The following is a 17,267-nucleotide window of genomic DNA, read 5'->3' as shown; positions in this document are numbered from 1 at the left end:
CCTCCCTCCCGGACGGGGTGGCTGCCGGGCGGAGACGCTCCTCACTTCCCAGACGGGGTGGCTGCCGGACGGAGGGGCTCCTCACTTCTCAGACGGGGCGGTTGCCAGGCAGAGGGTTTCCTCACTTCTCAGACGGGGCGGCCGGGCAGAGACGCTCCTCACCTCCCAGATAGGGTTGCGGCCAGCAGAGGCGCTCCTCACATCCCAGACAGGGCGGCGGGGCAGAGGTGCTCCCCACATCTCAGACGATGGGCGGCCGGGCAGAGACGCTCCTCACTTCCTAGATGGGAAGGCGGCGGGGAAGAGGCGCTCCTCGCTTCCTAGATGGGATGGCGGCCGGGCAGAGACGCTCCTCACTTTCCAGACTGGGCAGCCAGGCAGAGAGGCTCCTCATATCCCAGACGATGGGTGGCCAAGCAGAGACGCTCCTCACTTCCCAGACGGGGTGGCGGCTGGGCAGAGGCTGCAATCTCGGCACTTTGGGGGGCCAAGGCAGGCGGCTGGGAGGTGGAGGCTGTAGCGAGCCGAGATCACGCCACTGCACTCCAGCCTGGGCACCACAGAGCACTGAGTGAACGAGACTCCGTCCGCAATCCCGGCACCCCGGGAGGCCGAGGCTGGCGGATCACTCGCGGCTAGGAGCTGGAGACCAGCCCGGCCAACACAGCAAAACCCCGTCTCCACCAAAAAAAAAAACGAAAACCAGTGAGGCGTGGCGGCGTGCGCCTGCAATCGCAGGCACTCAGCAGGCTGAGGCAGGAGAATCAGGCAGGGAGGCTGCAGTGAGCCGAGATGGCAGCAGCACCGTCCAGCCTTGGCTCGGCATCAGAGGGAGACCGTGGAAGGAGACCGTGGAGGGAGACGGAGACGGAGACGGAGACGGAGACGGAGACGGAGACGGAGAGGGAGAGGGAGAGGGAGAGGGAGAGGGAGAGTCAGGCGGCTTTCTAAGCGCTTTCAATGTATTTTTAAAAATTTACATATACTCGATGTAAAAGAGAACTGTATGTATTTATTTATTGAGACAAGATATCGCTCATGTCACCAAGGCTGGAGTGCAGTGGTGCGATCACAGCTCACTGCAGCCTCGAACTCCTGTTCTCAAGCAATCCTCCTGCCTCAGTCTCCCAAAGCACTGAAATTCCAAGCGTGAGCCCCACGCCTGTCCTACAACATTATTTATTTTATTTTATTATTTTTTCTGAAACAGTGTCTCACTCTGTTACCCAGGCTAGAATGCAATGGCATGTTCATGGCTTACGGCAGCCACAACCTCCCTGACTCAAGCGATCCTCCTACCTCAGCATCCCGAGTAGCTGTGACCACAGGTGCCTGCCACCACACCCAGCTGATTTTTAAAAAAATTTTGTAAGGACGGGATCTCCTTGTGTTGCTCAGGCTGGTAACGATGGATCTTCTGGCCTGAAGCGATCCTCCCATCTCAGCTTCCCAAAGTGTTGGGATTACAGGCGTGAGCCACTGGGCCCAACCAACTTCTCTCTTTTTTTTTTTTTTTTTTTTTGAGACAGAGTCTTGCACTGTAACCCAGGCCAGAGTGTAGTGGCACAATCTCGGCTCACTGCAACTTCTGCCTCCCAGCTTCAAGCAATTCTCGTGCCTTGGCCTCCCAAGTAGCTGGGATTACAGGTGCATACCACCATGCCCAGCTAATTTTTGTATTTTTGTAGAGATAGGGTTTCACCATGTTGGCCAGGCTGGCTTCAAACTCCTGACCTCAGGTGATCCATCTGCCTCGTCTTCCCAAAGTGCTGGGATTACAGGCATGAACAACAGAGACAAGCAGGGCCTGGCCAACTTCTTACCATATAACTTTGACACTTCTTGTATCAAGAGGTGAGGGAGTCTATGTTCCCTCCCCTTGGAACTGGGAAGGCTTGTGATTACAGTGGAACAGATGCTATATGACTTCTGAGTTTAGATCATAAAATATGTAGCTTCCACCTGGCTTTCTGGAGCACATGTGCTAGTCCTGAGCTGCCAGGTGGGCAGTCTGACTGCCCTATATTATTATTATTTTATTTTTAAATTGAGACAGAGTCTTGCTCTGTGACCCAGGCTGGAGTGCAGTGGTGCGATCTTGGCTCACTGCAGCCTCCACCTCCCAGGTTCAAGGGATTCTCCTGCTTCAGCCTCCCAAGTAGCTGGGATTACAGGCATGCACCACCATACCCGGATAATTTTTACTAGAGAAGGGTTTCTCCATGTTGGCCAGGCTGGTGCCCTGTACGAATTATTTATTGCTGTGTAACAAATTACCTCCAAAACATAGCACCATGCTGGAGTGCAATGGCACGATCTTGGCTCACTGCAACCTCTGCCTCCCGGGTTCAAGCGATTCTCCTGCCTCAGCCTCCCTAGTAGCTGGGATTACAGGCGCCCACCACCATGCCCAGCTAATTTTTTGTATTTTTAGTAGAGACGGGGTTTCACTATGTTGGCCAGGCTGGTCTCCATCTCCTGACCACAGGTGATCCACCCACCTCAGCCTCCCAAAGTGCTGGGATTACAGGCGTGAGCCACACCATACCCAGCTCAAACATAACATCTTAAAAACATTTTTTTAAATAGAGACAAGGTCTCACTATGTTGCCCAGGCTGTTCTTGAACTTGAACTCCTGAGCTCAAGTGATCCTCCCACTTCGGCCTTCCAAAGTGCTGGGATTACAGGTGTGAACCACTGCGCCTAGCCAATATCTTAAAACAATAAACACTGGCCGGGTGTGGTGACTCACGCCTGTAATCCCAGCATTTTGGGAGGCGGAGGCGGGCGGATCACGAGGTCAGGAGATTGAGACCATCCTGGCTAACACGGTGAAACCCTGTCTCTACTGAAAATACAAAAAAATTAACTAGGCGTGGTGGTGGGTGCCTGTAGTCCCAGCTACTCAGGAGGCTGATTCAGGAGAATGGTGTGAACCTGAGAGGCGGAGCTTGCAGTGAGCCAAGATTGTGCCACTGTGCTCCAGCCTGGGCAATAGAGCGAGACTCTTTCTCAAAAAAAAAAAAAAAAAAAAAAAACAATAAACACTTATCACACACAGTTTCCTTGGGTTAGGAATCTAGGGGGTTCTGGCTCAGGGTCTCTCATGAAGTGCAGTCAAAATGTTGGCCAATGCTACCGTCATCTGAAGGCGTGACTGTTTTACAGAATCTGATTCCAAGGTAGCTCCCTCACATGCCCAGCAGGTTACTGCTGGTTGTTGACAGAAGGCCCGTCATGCTCAGGGTTGGGGTCCAGCCCCAGCTGAGGTGTGAGAGGAAGCAGTGGACGTGAGGCAGGGAGCTAGAAGAACACTCGAGAGACAGCAGGTAAATGAGACATGGCTTTATTCAGCAGCTCTCTCATCATCAACATCTTACTCTCGCACTGTCTGCTCTGTCTCAGCTGCTTACTCCGGCAGCTCCCACACACACACAGCTGTGTGGCCAGCTCTCCCTTCAGGGTCAGCAGCTTCACTCTTTCTTTTCTTTTCTTTTTTCTTTTTTTCCTGAGATGGAGTCTCGCGCTGTTGCCCAGGCTGGAGTGCAGTGGTGTGATCTCGGCTCACTGCAACCTCTGCCTCCTGGGTTCAAGCAATTCTCCTGCCTCAGCCTCCTGAGTAGCTGGGATTACAGGCATGCACCACCATGGCCAGCTAATTTTTGTATTTTTAGTTGAGAAGGGGTTTCACCATGTTGACCAGGCTGGTCTCAAACTCCTAACCTTGTGATCCACCTGCCTTGGCCTCCCAAAGTGCTGGGATTATGGGCATGAGCCACCACACCCCACAGCCTTACTCTTTCTCCCTCTGGGCATGAGCTAGCTGAGCTGTGTCTTGGCTTCCCCGAGATGGACAGCTCTGGCTTTCTCTCTTTCTCTGGGTACAAGCACCTGCACAAGAGCCATGTCCCATGTCAAGCCATGTTGGGCCGAGCCCTGTGCACAGTGTCAGCAGGGCAATTATACCTTTTACAGACAACAGTGGCTCAGAGCCAAGTGATGAGCCTTCCCATGTTATGGCTACACGGCTGTGATAACAAGTGGAGCTATATGCCTGCACTCTAAACTCACTGAGTCACTCTGGATGTTTACTTTGGCCTATGCCCACTTGACTGCAGCACACCCACGTTTCTTACAGGGCCTCAGTTCCTCACTAAGGAGACCTCTCTCCCTAGGGTTACTTGAGTGCTTTCATATCATGGTAGCTGGCTTTGTCTAGAATGAGTGATCTACAAAGGAGCAAGATGGAAGCCACAATATCTTCATGATTTAGCCTCTAAAGTCACACACTGTCATTTCTGCATTATCCCAATGGGCCAGTTCAGCCCCTTTCAATGTGAGAAGAGACTTCACAATGGTATCAATACCAGGAAGCAGGAATCACTGAGGACCATTTTGGAAGCTGACTATTAAAGCCTTAAGGCTGCCATGCTGTGAGGAAGCCCAAGCTAGCCCATGCAGAGGACAACATAGATAGGTTCGGAGACTACTCAGAGAAAGGGAGAGAGAATGCTAGGTTATCTTTCAGCTGTTTTAGCTGCTTATTGTTCCAGCTTTAGCCACCATCTGACTGCAATTGTATGAGCCAGAAATAGCCAGGTAAAATTGTCTTCCCAAATTCCTAGTGCACAAAAACTGTCAGAGGCTGGGGGCAGTGGCTCACTCCTGTAATCCCAGCAGCACTTTGGGAAGCCAGGGTGGGAGAACTGCTTGAGCCCAGGAGTTAGAGGCAACATAACAACAACTCATCTCTAATGAAAAAAAAAAAAAAAGAAAGAAAAAGGCCAGGCACAGTGGCTCACGCCTGTAATCCCAGCACTTTAGGAAGCCAAGGAGGGCGGATCATGAGGTCAGGAGTTTGAGACCAGCCTGGCCAATATGGTGAAACCCCGTCTCTACTAAAAACACAAAAATCAGCCACGCATAGTGGCTGGTGCCTGTAATCACAGCTACTCAGGAGGCTAAGGCAGGAGAATCACTTGAATCCGGGAGGCAGAGGTTGCAGTGAGCCGAGATTGCACCACTGCATTTCAGCCTGGGCAGCAGAGTGGGACTGTCTCACATTAATTAATTAATTGATTAAATGCTAGAAGAAAATATGGTCAAAATCTTTTATAACTCTTGGAGTGAGGAAGGCAATCTCGGCTCACTACAACTTCCACCTCCCGGGTTCAAATGATTCTCCTGCCTCAGCCTCCTGAGTAGCTGGGATTACAGGCACCCACCACCATGCCCGGCTAATTTTTGTATTTTTAGTAGAGACGAGGTTTCGCCATGTTGGCCAAGCTTGTCTTAAACTCCTGACCTCAGGTGATCCACCCACCTCAGCCTCCCAAATTGCTGGGATTACAGGCATGAGCCACCATGCCCCGCCTAATTTTAAAAATGTTTATAAAGACAGAGTCTTACCACGTTGTCCAGACCTGTCTCAAACTCCTGGGCTCAAGTCATTGTCTTGTCTCAGCCTCCCAAAGTTCTGGGACTACAGGTGTGCACCACCACACCTGGCTAATTTTGTTTATTTTTTATAGAGTGAGGGTCTCCCTGTGTTGTCCAGGGTGTCTCAAACTCCTGGGCTCAAGTGGTCCTCCTGCCTCAGCCTCCCAAAGTGCTGGGATTATAGGCATAAGCCACTGCACCTGGCCCCAGTGTGTGTCTTCTGAGGCTAAGTCATAAAGAGATTGCGGCTTCTATTTTGCTTCCTCTTAGATCACTCATTCTGGGGGAAACCAACAATAAATAACAGGAACACACCAGGAGATCAGAGAAAGCTGAGATACAGGCCTAATGCCCAGTCCTCTGTATTCATTTCTAATTGCTGCTGTAACAAGTTACTGCACATTTAATGATGTAAAACAACACAAATTTATCTTACAGTTCTGTAGCTTAGAAGTCTGACAGAGTCTCACTGGGCTGAAATCAAGATGTTGATAGTTCCTTCCCGGTGACTCTAGAGTGAGAATCCAGTTCTTTACCCTTTCTTGCCTTTAGAGGCCACCCGTATTTATTAGCTCACAATCCCCTTCCTCCATCTTCAAACCAGAAACATTGCAGCTCTCTGTGTCTTTTTTCTTTACTCACATCTCCCTCTGACTTTCTTCTGCCATCCTCCTTCATTTTTTAAGGACCCCTGTGGGCCAGGCATGGTGGCTTATGCCTGTAATCCCAGCACTTTGAGAGGCGGAGGCAGGCGGGTCACCTGAGGTCAGGAGTTCCAGACCAGCCTGGCCAACATGGCAAAACCCCATCTCCACTGAAAATACAAAAATTGGGCCAGGCACGGCGGCTCACACCCGTAATCCCCATACTTTGAGAGGCTGAGGCAGGTGGATCACTTGAGGTCAGGAGTTCAAGACCAGCCTGGCCAACATGGTGAAATCCCGTCTCTACTAAAAAAAAAAAAAATTACAATAATTAGTCAGGCGTGGTGGCCAGCACCTATAATCCCAGCTACTTGGGAGGTTGAGGCACAAGAATTGCTTGAACCCGAGAGGGGGAGGTTGCAGTGAGCTGAGATTGCACCACCGTACTCCAGCCTGGATGACAGAGCAAGACTCTGTCTCAAAATAAAAATTAAGATAAATAATAAAAAATAAATAAAAATCAGCAAATTAGGCCAGGTGTGGTGGTGGCTCATGCCTGTACTCCCAGCACTTTGAGGTGGGAAGGTTGCTTGAAACCAGAAGTTTAGACCAGCCTGGGAAACAAAGTGAGACCCCATCTCTACAAAAATAAAAATAAATTAGCCAGGTGTGGTGGGACGTACTTGTACTCCTAGCTACTAGGGAGGCTGAGGTGCAAGAATCGCTTGAACCTGGGAGACGGAGGTTGCAGTGAGTTATGACAGTGCCACTACACTCCAGCCTGGGTGTCAAGGGTCTTTGAAAAAATAAACAAAATAGGCTGGGCGTGGTGGCTTACACTTGTAATCCCAGCACTTTGGGAGGCTGAGGCAGGCAGATCACAAAGTCAGGAGTTCGAGACCAGCCTGGCCAACACAGTGAAACCCCGTCTCTACTAAAAATACAAAAATTAGCCAGGCATGGTTGCACGCGCCTGTAGTCCCAACTGCTCGGGAGGCTGAGGCAGGAGAATGGCTTGAACCTGGGGGGGGGCGGAAGTTATAATGAGCCAAGATTGTGCCACTGCACTCCAGCCTAGGCAACAGAGCGAGACTCCGTCTCAAAAATAAAAATAAAAATAAATCAATAGAGCCTGGTATGATGGCTCACGCCTATAATCCCAGCACTTTGGGAGGCCCAGGTGGGTGGATCATCTGAGGTCAGGAGTTTGAGACCAGCCTGACCAACATGGAGAAACCCCATCTCTACTAAAAATACAAAAAATTAGCCAGGCGTGGTGGCACATGCCTATAATCCCAGCTACTCAGGAGCCTGAGGCAGGAGAATCGCTTTAACCGGGGAGGTGGAGGTTGCGGTGAGTCGAGATAGCACCATTGCATTCTAGCCTGGGCAACAAGAGCAAAACTCCATCTCAAAAATAAATAAATAAATAGATAGATAGGCTGGGCACGGTGGCTCACGCCTGTAATCCCAGCACTTTGGGAGGCCGAGGTGGGCGGATCACCTGAGGTCAGGAGTTCAAGACCAGCCTGGCCAATATAGCGAAACCCTGTCTCTACTAAAAATTTAAAAAATTAGCCAGGCATGATGGCGGGTGCCTGTAATCCCAGCTACTCGGGAGGCTGAGGCAGGAGAATCTCTCGAACCTGGCAGGCGGAGGTTGCAGTGAGCCGAGATCACACCATTGCACTCCAGTTGGGCAACAAGAGCGAAACTCCACCTCAAAAACAAAATAAAATAAAATAAAATCAGGAGATTGGTCAGCTTAATTCCATCTGCAACCTTAATTCCCTTTTGGCCATTTAACCTATCATATTCACAAGTTCCAGGGATTCATGCAGGGACATCTTTGGTGACCATTATTCTGTCTACCACACTCTCTAGAAGAGAGTAGATGTGAGAAACAGCATCTGGAGAGGGAGGAGCCAGCAGGAGAGGGAAATATCACAGACGCCAGAGGAAGAGAGTTCCCAGAAGGGTAGGTGCAACAGTAAGGGATCCCTCTGGGAAGTCAAGCAAGAGAAGACCTGAAAAACAACCATTGGCCGGGTGCGGTGGCTCACGCCTATAATCCTAGCATTTTGGGAGGCCGAGGTGGGTGGATCACTTGAGGTCAGGAGTTTAAGACAAGCCTGGCCAACATGGTGAAACCCTGTCTCTACTAAAAATACAAAAATTAGCCAGACATGGTGGCAGGCACCTGTAGTCCAAACTACTTGGGAGGCTGAGGCACGAGAACCACTTGAACCCTGGAGGCGGAAGTTGCAGTGAGCCGAGATGGCACCGCTGCACTCCAGCCTGGGCGACAGAGTGAGACTCCGTCTCAAAATAAGTAAATAAATAAATAAATAACCATTGGGTCTAGCGTCTTGGTGACACCAGCCACTAGGTGTCAGGGCAATGCTGGAGGCAGCAGCTAGTTTATGGCGTGGGCAGCAAGGAAGAAGTGAGGAAGTAGAGACTGGGAGTGTAGAATCTTTCCAAAAACTTGAATGTGGAGGGGTAGATGGGATAATGCCGGGAGAGGAGGCTGGTGAAGGACCTCTTAGTGAAGGGAGATTTGTTGCTGTTTCTGAGATGGGAAAGAGAAACAAGTTGCAGTGTAGATGGGGAGGATGGAGAGGTTGAAGGTGTAGGAGAGATGGGTCACCATCAGATGGGACGTCTGTGAAGGAGAGACCTCATCTGGCCCACAGCTTGGAAAGGAGAGACTGACTGTTGAGTTGATGCAAGCTCAGGTGTTGCCAGGCGGGCGCCATGATAGTAGAGAGGTTAGGATACTGTCAAGGGTGTGTGTGGCCAAAGGAGTGGTTCTGTGAATGTATGGGAGAAAGGGAGACCGACCACCAGGAAGCACTGGTGAGGCAGGACCCGGGAGGATGGGAGGCTGCAGCCCGAATGGTGCCTGAAATAGTTTCAGGGGAAATGCTTGGTTCCCGAATCGGATCGCCGTATTCGCTGGATCCCCTGATCCGCTGGTCTCTAGGTCCCGGATGCTGCAATTCTTACAACAGGACTTGGCATAGGGTAAGCGCAAATGCTGTTAACCACACTAACACACTTTTTTTTTTCTTTTTTTTTTTTGAGACAGAGTCTCACTCTGTCGGCCTGGCTGGAGTGCAGTGGCACGATCTCGGCTCACTGCAACCTCCGGCTCCCCGGCTCAAGCAATTCTCCTGCCTCAGCCTCCCGAGTAGCTGGGATTACAGGCATGTGCCACCACGCCCGGCTAATTTTTGTATTTTTAGTTGAGATGGGGTTTCACCATGTTGGCGAGGCTGGTCTTGAACTCCTGACCTCAGGTAATCCGCCAGCCTCGGCCTCCCAAAGTGCTGGGATTACAAGCGTGAGCCACCGTGCCCGGCCAACAGTTTTTAAATCTGTGGAGACTTCATTTCCCTTGATGCCTTGCAGCCGCGCCGACTACAACTCCCATCATGCCTGGCAGCCGCTGGGGCCGCGATTCCGCACGTCCCTTACCCGCTTCACTAGTCCCGGCATTCTTCGCTGTTTTCCTAACTCGCCCGCTTGACTAGCGCCCTGGAACAGCCATTTGGGTCGTGGAGTGCGAGCACGGCCGGCCAATCGCCGAGTCAGAGGGCCAGGAGGGGCGCGGCCATTCGCCGCCCGGCCCCTGCTCCGTGGCTGGTTTTCTCCGCGGGCGCCTCGGGCGGAACCTGGAGATAATGGGCAGCACCTGGGGGAGCCCTGGCTGGGTGCGGCTCGCTCTTTGCCTGACGGGCTTAGTGCTCTCGCTCTACGCGCTGCACGTGAAGGCGGCGCGCGCCCGGGACCGGGATTACCGCGCGCTCTGCGACGTGGGCACCGCCATCAGCTGTTCGCGCGTCTTCTCCTCCAGGTGTGCACGGGAGTGGGAGGCGTGGGGCCTCGGAGCAGGGCGGCCAGGATGCCAGATGATTATTCTGGAGTCTGGGATCGGTGTGCCCGGGGAACGGACACGGGGCTGGACTGCTCGCGGGGTCGTTGCACAGGGGCTGAGCTACCCAGCGATACTGGTGTTCGAAATAAGAGTGCGAGGCAAGGGACCAGACAGTGCTGGGGACTGGGATTATTCCGGGGACTCGCACGTGAATTGGATGCCAAGGAATAACGGTGACCAGGAAAGGCGGGGAGGCAGGATGGCGGTAGAGATTGACGATGGTCTCAAGGACGGCGCGCAGGTGAAGGGGGGTGTTGGCGATGGCTGCGCCCAGGAACAAGGTGGCCCGGTCTGGCTGTGCGTGATGGCCAGGCGTTAGCATAATGACGGAATACAGAGGAGGCGAGTGAGTGGCCAGGGAGCTGGAGATTCTGGGGTCCAGGGCAAAGATAATCTGCCCCCGACTCCCAGTCTCTGATGCAAAACCGAGTGAACCGTTATACCAGCCTTGCCATTTTAAGAATTACTTAAGGGCCGGGCGCGGTGGCCCACTCCTGTAATCCCAGCACTTTGGGAGGCCGAGGCGGATGGATCACTTGAAGTCAGGAGTTGACCAGCCTGGCCAACATGGTGAAAGCCTGTCTCTACCAAAAATAGAAAAATTAATCGGGCGCTATGGCGGGTGCCTTAATCCCAGCTACTCGGGGGGGCTAAGGCAGGAGAATCGCTTGAACCCGGGAGGCGGAGGTTTCAGTGAGCCGAGATCGCGCCACTGCACTCCAGCCTGGGCCAGAGTGAGACTCCGTCTCAAAAAAAAAAAAAAAAAAAAAAAAAAAGAGACTTACTTAAGGTCTAAGATGAAAAGCAGGGCCTACGGAGTAGCCACGTCCGGGCCTGGTCTGGGGAGAGGGGAGGATAGGGTCAGTGACATGGAATCCTGACGTGGCCAAAGGTGCCCGGTGCCAGGAGATCATCGACCCTTGGACTAGGATGGGAGGTCGGGGAACAGAGGATAGCCCAGGTGGCTTCTTGGAAATCACCTTTCTCGGGCAGGGTCCAAGGCACTGGGTTGACAGTCCTAACCTGGTTCCACCCCACCCCACCCCTCTGCCAGGTGGGGCAGGGGTTTCGGGCTGGTGGAGCATGTGCTGGGACAGGACAGCATCCTCAATCAATCCAACAGCATATTCGGTTGCATCTTCTACACACTACAGCTATTGTTAGGTGAGTGGCTCCGCCCCCTCCCTGCCCGCCCCGCCCCGCCCCTCATCCCCCTTGGTCAGCTCAGCCCCACTCCATGCAATCTTGGTGATCCACACAGCTGACAGCCAGCTAGCTGCTCATCACGGAGCGTCCTGCGGGTGGGGATGTGGGGAGGTAACTAACAGGAGTCTTTTAATTGGTTTAAGTACTGTTAGAGGCTGAAGGGCCCTTAAAGACATCCTAGGTCCCCAGGTTTTTTGTTTGTTGTTGTTTTGAGACAGGGTCTGGCTCTGTTGCCCAAAGTGAGGTCTAGGATGCCCTTAGTGTGCACTGGCGTGATCTCAGTTCATGGCAACCTCTGCCTCCCTGCCCAAGGGATCCTCCCACCTTAGCCTCCCAAGCAGCTGGAATCACAGGCGTGCACCACTATGCCCAGCTAATTTTTGTTTTTGTTTTTTTTTGGTAGAGATGGTGTCTCGCCATGTTGCCCAGGCTGGTCTCAAGCAATCTGTCTGCCTCAGCCTCCCAAAGTGCTGGGGGGATTACAGGCGTGAGCTACCATGCCCCACCAACACCCCAGTTTTGTGGAAAAGATGCCGAAATTCCTTTTTAAGGAGAAGCTGAGCATGAGCTATCTTTTGTCTCATTTAGTGCTCAGCAGGAAAATTTGTATCTAGTCCCATAAGAACAGAGAGAGGAACCAAGGGAGTGGAAGACGATGGCGCCCCAGGCCTTGCTGATGCCATATGCCGGAGATGAGACTATCCATTACCACCCTTCCCAGCAGGCTCCCACGCTCCCTTTGAGTCACCCTTCCCAGCTCCAGAGAAGGCATCACTGAGGGAGGCCCAGCACCATGGTCCTGGCTGACACATGGTTCAGACTTGGCCGATTTATTTAAGAAATTTTATTGCTCAGAACTTTCCCTCCCTGGGCAATGGCAAGAGCTTCAGAGACCAGTCCCTTGGAGGGGACCTGTTGAAGCCTTCTTTTTTTTTTTTTTTAAGAAATAATCTTGCTCTGTTGCCCAGGCTGGAGTGCAGTGGCACAATCATAGCTCACTGTAACCTGGCTCAAGCGATCCTCCTGAGTAGCTAGGACTATAGGCATGTCACTGCACCCAGCTAATTTTTTTTTTTTTTTTTTTTTTTTTTTTGCGACATAGTCTCGCTCTGTCACCAGGCTGGAGTGCAGTGGCACGATCTTGGCTCACTGCAACCTCTGCCTCCCGGGTTCAAGCAATTTTCCTGCCTCAGCCTCCTGAGTAGCTGGGACTACAGGCGCGTGTCACCACGCCCAGCTAATTTTTGTATTTTTAGTGGAGACAGGGTTTCACCATGTTGGCTAGGATGGTCTCAATCTCTTGACCTGGTGATCCATCCGCCTTGGCCTCCCAAAGTGCTAGGATTACAGGCGTGAGTCAACCTCACCGGGCATTTTTTTTTTGAGACGAAGTCTTGCTCTTGCTGCCCAAGCTGGAATGTGGTGGCATGATCTCGGCTCACTGCAACCTCCACCTCCTAGGTTCAAGCGATTCTCCACCTTAGCCTCCCCAGCAGCTGGGATTACAGGTGCCCATCAACACACCCGGCTAATTTTTGTATTTTTATTAGAGATGGGGTTTTGCCATGTTGGCCAGGCTGCTCTCGAACTCCTAACCTCAGGTGATCCACCCCCATTGGCCTCCCAAAATACTGGGATTACAGGCATGAGCCACCGTGCCCAGCTGAATTTCTAAATTTTTGATAGAGATCGGGTCTTTCTATGTTGCCCAAGCTGGTCTTGAACTCCTAGCCTAAAGCAGTCTTCCCACCTCGGCCTCCCAGAGTGTTTGGAATACGTGCGTAAGCCACCACATCTGCCCTGGAGCCTCTTGTTTTAGAGACCCTTCCCAGCAGCTCCTGGCATCTAGGTAGTGCAGTGACATCATGGAGTGTTCGGGAGGTGGCCAGTGCCTGAAGCCCACACCGGACCCTCTTCTGCCTTGCAGGTTGCCTGCGGACACGCTGGGCCTCTGTCCTGATGCTGCTGAGCTCCCTGGTGTCTCTCGCTGGTTCTGTCTACCTGGCCTGGATCCTGTTCTTCGTGCTCTATGATTTCTGCATTGTTTGTATCACCACCTATGCTATCAACGTGAGCCTGATGTGGCTCAGTTTCCGGAAGGTCCAAGAACCCCAGGGCAAGGCTAAGAGGCACTGAGCCCTCAACCCAAGCCAGGCTGACCTCATCTGCTTTGCTTTGGCATGTGAGCCTTGCCTAAGGGGGCATATCTGGGTCCCTAGAAGGCCCTAGATGTGGGGCTTCTAGATTACCCCCTCCTCCTGCCATACCCGCACATGACAATGGACCAAATGTGCCACACGCTCGCTCTTTTTTACACCCAGTGCCTCTGACTCTGTCCCCATGGGCTGGTCTCCAAAGCTCTTTCCATTGCCCAGGGAGGGAAGGTTCTGAGCAATAAAGTTTCTTAGATCAATCAGCCAAGTCTGAACCATGTGTCTGCCATGGACTGTGGTGCTGGGCCTCCCTCGGTGTTGCCTTCTCTGGAGCTGGGAAGGGTGAGTCAGAGGGAGAGTGGAGGGCCTGCTGGGAAGGGTGGTTATGGGTAGTCTCATCTCCAGTGTGTGGAGTCAGCAAGGCCTGGGGCACCATTGGCCCCCACCCCCAGGAAACAGGCTGGCAGCTCGCTCCTGCTGCCCACAGGAGCCAGGCCTCCTCTCCTGGGAAGGCTGAGCACACACCTGGAAGGGCAGGCTGCCCTTCTGGTTCTGTAAATGCTTGCTGGGAAGTTCTTCCTTGAGTTTAACTTTAACCCCTCCAGTTGCCTTATCGACCATTCCAAGCCAGTATTGGTAGCCTTGGAGGGTCAGGGCCAGGTTGTGAAGGTTTTTGTTTTGCCTATTATGCCCTGACCACTTACCTACATGCCAAGCACTGTTTAAGAACTTGTGTTGGCAGGGTGCAGTGGCTCACACCTGTAATCCCTGTACTTTGGGAGGCCAAGGCAGGAGGATCACTTGAGGCCAGGAGTTCCAGACCAGCCTGGGCAAAATAGTGAGACCCCTGTCTCTACAAAAAAAAAAAAAAAAAAAAATTAGCCAGGCATGGTGGTGTATGTACCTATAGTCCCAACTAATCGGGAAGCTGGCGGGAAGACTGCTTGAGCCCAGAAGGTTGAGGCTGCAGTGAGCCATGATCACTGCACTCCAGCCTGAGCAACAGAGCAAGACCGTCTCCAAAAAAAAACAAAAAACAAAAAAAAACTTGTGTTAACGTGTTAAACTCGTTTAATCTTTACAGTGATTTATGAGGTGGGTACTATTATTATCCCTATCTTGATGATAGGGACAGAGTGGCTAATTAGTATGCCTGAGATCACACAGCTACTGCAGGAGGCTCTCAGGATTTGAATCCACCTGGTCCATCTGGCTCCAGCATCTATATGCTTTTTTTTTTGTTGGTTTGTTTTTGAGACGGACTTTCGCTCTTGTTGTCCAGGCTGGAGTGCAATGGCACAATTTCGGCTCACCACAACCTCCACCTCCCAGGTTCAAGTGATTCTCCTGCCTCAGCCTCCCGAGTAGCTGGGATTACAGGCATGCGCCACCAGGCCTGGCTAATTTTGTATTTTTAGTAGAGACAGTGTTTCTCTATGTTGGTCAGGCTGGTCTCGCACTCCCGACCTCAGGTGATCTGCCTGCTTTGGCCTCCCAAAGTGCTGGGATTACAGGCGTGAGCCACCATGCCCGGCCAGCATCTATAATATATGCTAAACCTTACCCACAGCTGCCTCTGTCTTGGGGTCAGGGTTCTTGAATGGTCTGGGCCAGCCTGAGTTAGGAGTGGGAAGAGGAAGAGGAGGCACGCGCCAAAGTGTTCTTCCCGCCTGACCGAGTCCTCTGCGCCTATGAGGAAGGTGGGCACCGCTGTCACCCTGTTTCCCAGGAAGCCAGCAGGCCCAGGGAGATACTGGGATTTGCCAAAGGCTCACAGCGAGCAAGCAGCAGTGGGTGCTGGCTCCTCACCACTCAGCCTGGCACACACTGTCTCTGAGCAGACCTGGGAGAAGGCATGTGAAACCCACCTAGCCCTGGCTGGAAGAGAAGTGGGGGAGTGGAAATGAAAAGTGGGGACTGGGAGGAGCTGCCCACGTGCCCTCCATGGTTCCAGGATGGCACTTTCATGCTGGGAGTGAGCTTGCCCTGTGCCAGGCTGTCATTGAGACGTTTTCCATTCAACAACTGTTTCTCAGACAAGGCACAGGCAGGTTAGCTCTCCCAGGCCACTCAAGTAGTAAGGAAACAGATTTAAACCCAGACAATTTGGCTCCACGGCTAAGGCCCAGAGAGGGGTGGTGACAAGCCTAGGGTCACACAGCCACAGCCCCAGAGCTAGGAACTGCTGGCTAGGGCAAGCAGACAGCTGAATCCTAGCCAACTGGAGGTGGAGCAGAGGTGGAGCCAGGGAGACCCAGGTGGCCTCTCTCAGAGTGGAGCACAGGTGGCAGAGTGGCCCGGGGCAGCATGAAGTGGTGCTGGGGCCCAGTGCTGCTCATCGCGGGTGCCACAGTCCTCATGGAGGGTAAGCCGCCATGTGCTGGGGTATGGGTGTGGCCTGGTGGGGGCTCAGGGGCCATCTCTGCCCCAGCAGTCCCTGCTTCTTGGTGGGGGGACCGCCTGTGGGCGACAGTCCACCAGTGGGGATGTAACTCCGTAGGACTCTGTGGGGTGGTATATGTGGCCACCTGTGTCAACATGGATGAGATTTTCTCGGGCCAGCTGCAGTTTGCGTTGGCGGGGCCTGTGGTCTTGTGTGTGTGTGAGGTGCTGCCTGCGTGTGTCCTGTGCCTGCCTCCCCCTCGACTTCCACAATGACGTCAGGCAAACTCTGGGCTCCTCTGGCCTCAGTTTCCCTTTCTTTTCATCCATCCTCTGGGCAGCCTGGCTCAGCTGTCTCATGGGGTGCCTGTGTGCCTGTGAGGGGCGGTGGGCAGGGGCCCTCTCTCTGGCGGGCTCTCAGACAGTTTCTGGGAAGGTGGGGAAGACTGAGTCTCTAGACCAGGGTGAGGTAAGTCTCCATTTCTTGGGGCCCTCCCCACTTGGAAATGATGCAGGCCTCTAATCCTTCCTCTTAGGCCTCTGCTGCTAAGAGGACAATTAAGCTAATGCTCTCTACACACACAGGCCGCCTGGCTGACTCAGTGGCGGGGGCAGGAGTTGGGGGTTCTGAAGCCTGGAGGAGGGCTGGCCTACTCCCAAGCTGAACCCCAAGCCCCAGAGTGCTGAGCACAGCTGAAGGAGAATTAATTACTGAGTGTGCACACTGAATAGGTTCCAATAAAAGCTGTCTCGGCCTCATATAAATATTTTCATTCTGGGAGGGGCTGGTAAGGTAATCAGAGTCACAGGCAAGGACCCTGGGCCCGCCCCCCAGCCCATCCCCTCTCCTCCCCAAAGCTAGGCAGGCCTGGAGTCCCTGCATCTTACCTGTGTCTCTCTCTTCCCAGGTCTTCAAGCCGCTCAGCGTGGTAAGGTCTGGGGACACGGGGCCTAGGTCTTACTTGGGTCTGGGTTGGGACTGGGGTGAGGTCAGGACAGGTATCTGCTGTCAGTGTGACTAACTCCTTTCCACAGCCTGTGGACAGCGTGGCCCCGGCCCCCCCAAGCCTCAGGAGGGCAACACAGTCCCTGGCGAGTGGCCCTGGCAGGCCAGTGTGAGGAGGCAAGGAGCCCACATCTGCAGCGGCTCCCTGGTGGCAGACACCTGGGTCCTCACTGCTGCCCACTGCTTTGAAAAGTAAGTCATGGCTGGGGTCAGGCAGGGTCTCCGGCTCTGGGGAGTGGACAATTTGTCTCAAGCCCCACAAGGCTAGTCCCTGCCTCTAGAGTAATAATAAAGAACCATTTACTGAGAATCTGCCATGTACTGGGTACATATTGTCAAGTTAATTGTAACAACCACCTTTCATGGTAGAAGATTTACAAATCAGAAAACTCAGGTTGCAAGGGAATGACCTCGCTTAAAGTCACAGACTGAGGCCGGGCACAGTAGCTCACGCTTGTAATCCCAGCCCTTTGGGAGGCCACGGAGGGAGGATCGC

General features: G+C 52.9%; 3 protein-coding genes across 10 annotated transcripts in view, besides 6 other annotated features; all 3 read left to right on the top strand.

The window, feature by feature from the left end:
* LOC124903680 (zinc finger protein ENSP00000375192-like) lies at nt 8,495–9,616 on the top strand. Its single transcript, XM_047435012.1, has one exon. The coding sequence runs from the start codon at nt 9,122–9,124 to the stop codon at nt 9,614–9,616; it is 495 nt and encodes a 164-aa protein (XP_047290968.1). The 5' UTR covers nt 8,495–9,121.
* Nucleotides 8,535–8,714: an enhancer, noted in NCBI's record as "active region_10748". NCBI's record gives its function as "activates an Ori minimal core promoter by ATAC-STARR-seq in GM12878 lymphoblastoid cells {active_cell/tissue: GM12878}" and the evidence as "EXISTENCE:reporter gene assay evidence [ECO:0000049][PMID:35858748]".
* Nucleotides 9,230–9,279: an enhancer, noted in NCBI's record as "active region_10747". NCBI's record gives its function as "activates an Ori minimal core promoter by ATAC-STARR-seq in GM12878 lymphoblastoid cells {active_cell/tissue: GM12878}" and the evidence as "EXISTENCE:reporter gene assay evidence [ECO:0000049][PMID:35858748]".
* Nucleotides 9,330–9,379: an enhancer, noted in NCBI's record as "active region_10746". NCBI's record gives its function as "activates an Ori minimal core promoter by ATAC-STARR-seq in GM12878 lymphoblastoid cells {active_cell/tissue: GM12878}" and the evidence as "EXISTENCE:reporter gene assay evidence [ECO:0000049][PMID:35858748]".
* Nucleotides 9,410–9,589: an enhancer, noted in NCBI's record as "active region_10745". NCBI's record gives its function as "activates an Ori minimal core promoter by ATAC-STARR-seq in GM12878 lymphoblastoid cells {active_cell/tissue: GM12878}" and the evidence as "EXISTENCE:reporter gene assay evidence [ECO:0000049][PMID:35858748]".
* On the top strand, nt 9,703–13,646 carry VKORC1 (vitamin K epoxide reductase complex subunit 1). 3 transcript variants are annotated; one of them, NM_001311311.2, is made up of 4 exons: nt 9,703–9,943; nt 11,079–11,188; nt 11,634–11,717; nt 13,158–13,646. In NM_001311311.2, exons 1-4 carry the CDS (start codon nt 9,771–9,773, stop codon nt 13,364–13,366), a joined length of 576 nt encoding a protein of 191 aa, NP_001298240.1. In that variant the 5' UTR covers nt 9,703–9,770; the 3' UTR covers nt 13,367–13,646. The 3 variants fall into 3 exon arrangements, with proteins under 3 accessions (NP_001298240.1, NP_076869.1, NP_996560.1); NM_024006.6 differs by lacking the exon at nt 11,634–11,717; NM_206824.3 differs by lacking the exons at nt 11,079–11,188; nt 11,634–11,717.
* Nucleotides 10,770–11,478: an enhancer, noted in NCBI's record as "H3K4me1 hESC enhancer chr16:31104343-31105051 (GRCh37/hg19 assembly coordinates)". NCBI's record gives its function as "activates a minimal SCP1, AML or CMV promoter by ChIP-STARR-seq in primed H9 embryonic stem cells {active_cell/tissue: H9 hESC(primed)}" and the evidence as "EXISTENCE:reporter gene assay evidence [ECO:0000049][PMID:30033119]".
* Nucleotides 15,380–15,880: an enhancer, noted in NCBI's record as "H3K4me1 hESC enhancer chr16:31099941-31100441 (GRCh37/hg19 assembly coordinates)". NCBI's record gives its function as "activates a minimal SCP1, AML or CMV promoter by ChIP-STARR-seq in naive H9 embryonic stem cells {active_cell/tissue: H9 hESC(naive)}" and the evidence as "EXISTENCE:reporter gene assay evidence [ECO:0000049][PMID:30033119]".
* PRSS53 (serine protease 53) overlaps nt 15,557–17,267 on the top strand; it is a 5,507-nt gene continuing 3,796 nt past the window's right edge. For all 6 annotated transcript variants that reach the window (XM_011545819.3, NM_001039503.3, XM_011545820.3 and 3 more), the window contains exons 1-3: nt 15,557–15,748; nt 16,674–16,694; nt 16,801–16,963. In XM_011545819.3, the coding sequence (XP_011544121.1) occupies nt 15,691–15,748; nt 16,674–16,694; nt 16,801–16,963 (242 nt within the window). In that variant the 5' untranslated portion in view covers nt 15,557–15,690. The remainder of the gene's footprint in view (nt 15,749–16,673; nt 16,695–16,800; nt 16,964–17,267) is intronic.

This window comes from Homo sapiens, chromosome 16, assembly GCF_000001405.40.
Source record: "Homo sapiens chromosome 16, GRCh38.p14 Primary Assembly".
Classification (NCBI taxonomy): Eukaryota; Metazoa; Chordata; class Mammalia; order Primates; family Hominidae; genus Homo; species Homo sapiens.
The sequence above is the reverse complement of the archived record's forward strand: the minus strand, read 5'-3'. Positions and strand labels throughout refer to the sequence as shown.

What these genes read in the sequence shown, in the direction of transcription:
- LOC124903680 (XM_047435012.1), top strand. Translation starts at nt 9,122, where the DNA reads ATGCTGTTAACCACACTAACACACTTTTTTTTTTCTTTTTTTTTTTTG.
- VKORC1 (NM_001311311.2), top strand. Translation starts at nt 9,771, where the DNA reads ATGGGCAGCACCTGGGGGAGCCCTGGCTGGGTGCGGCTCGCTCTTTGC. An exon ending in TCGCGCGTCTTCTCCTCCAG is followed by an intron (nt 9,944 to 11,078) that starts GTGTGCACGGGA and finishes CCCCTCTGCCAG; the next exon opens with GTGGGGCAGGGGTTTCGGGC. An exon ending in CACACTACAGCTATTGTTAG is followed by an intron (nt 11,189 to 11,633) that starts GTGAGTGGCTCC and finishes TTTTTTTGGTAG; the next exon opens with AGATGGTGTCTCGCCATGTT.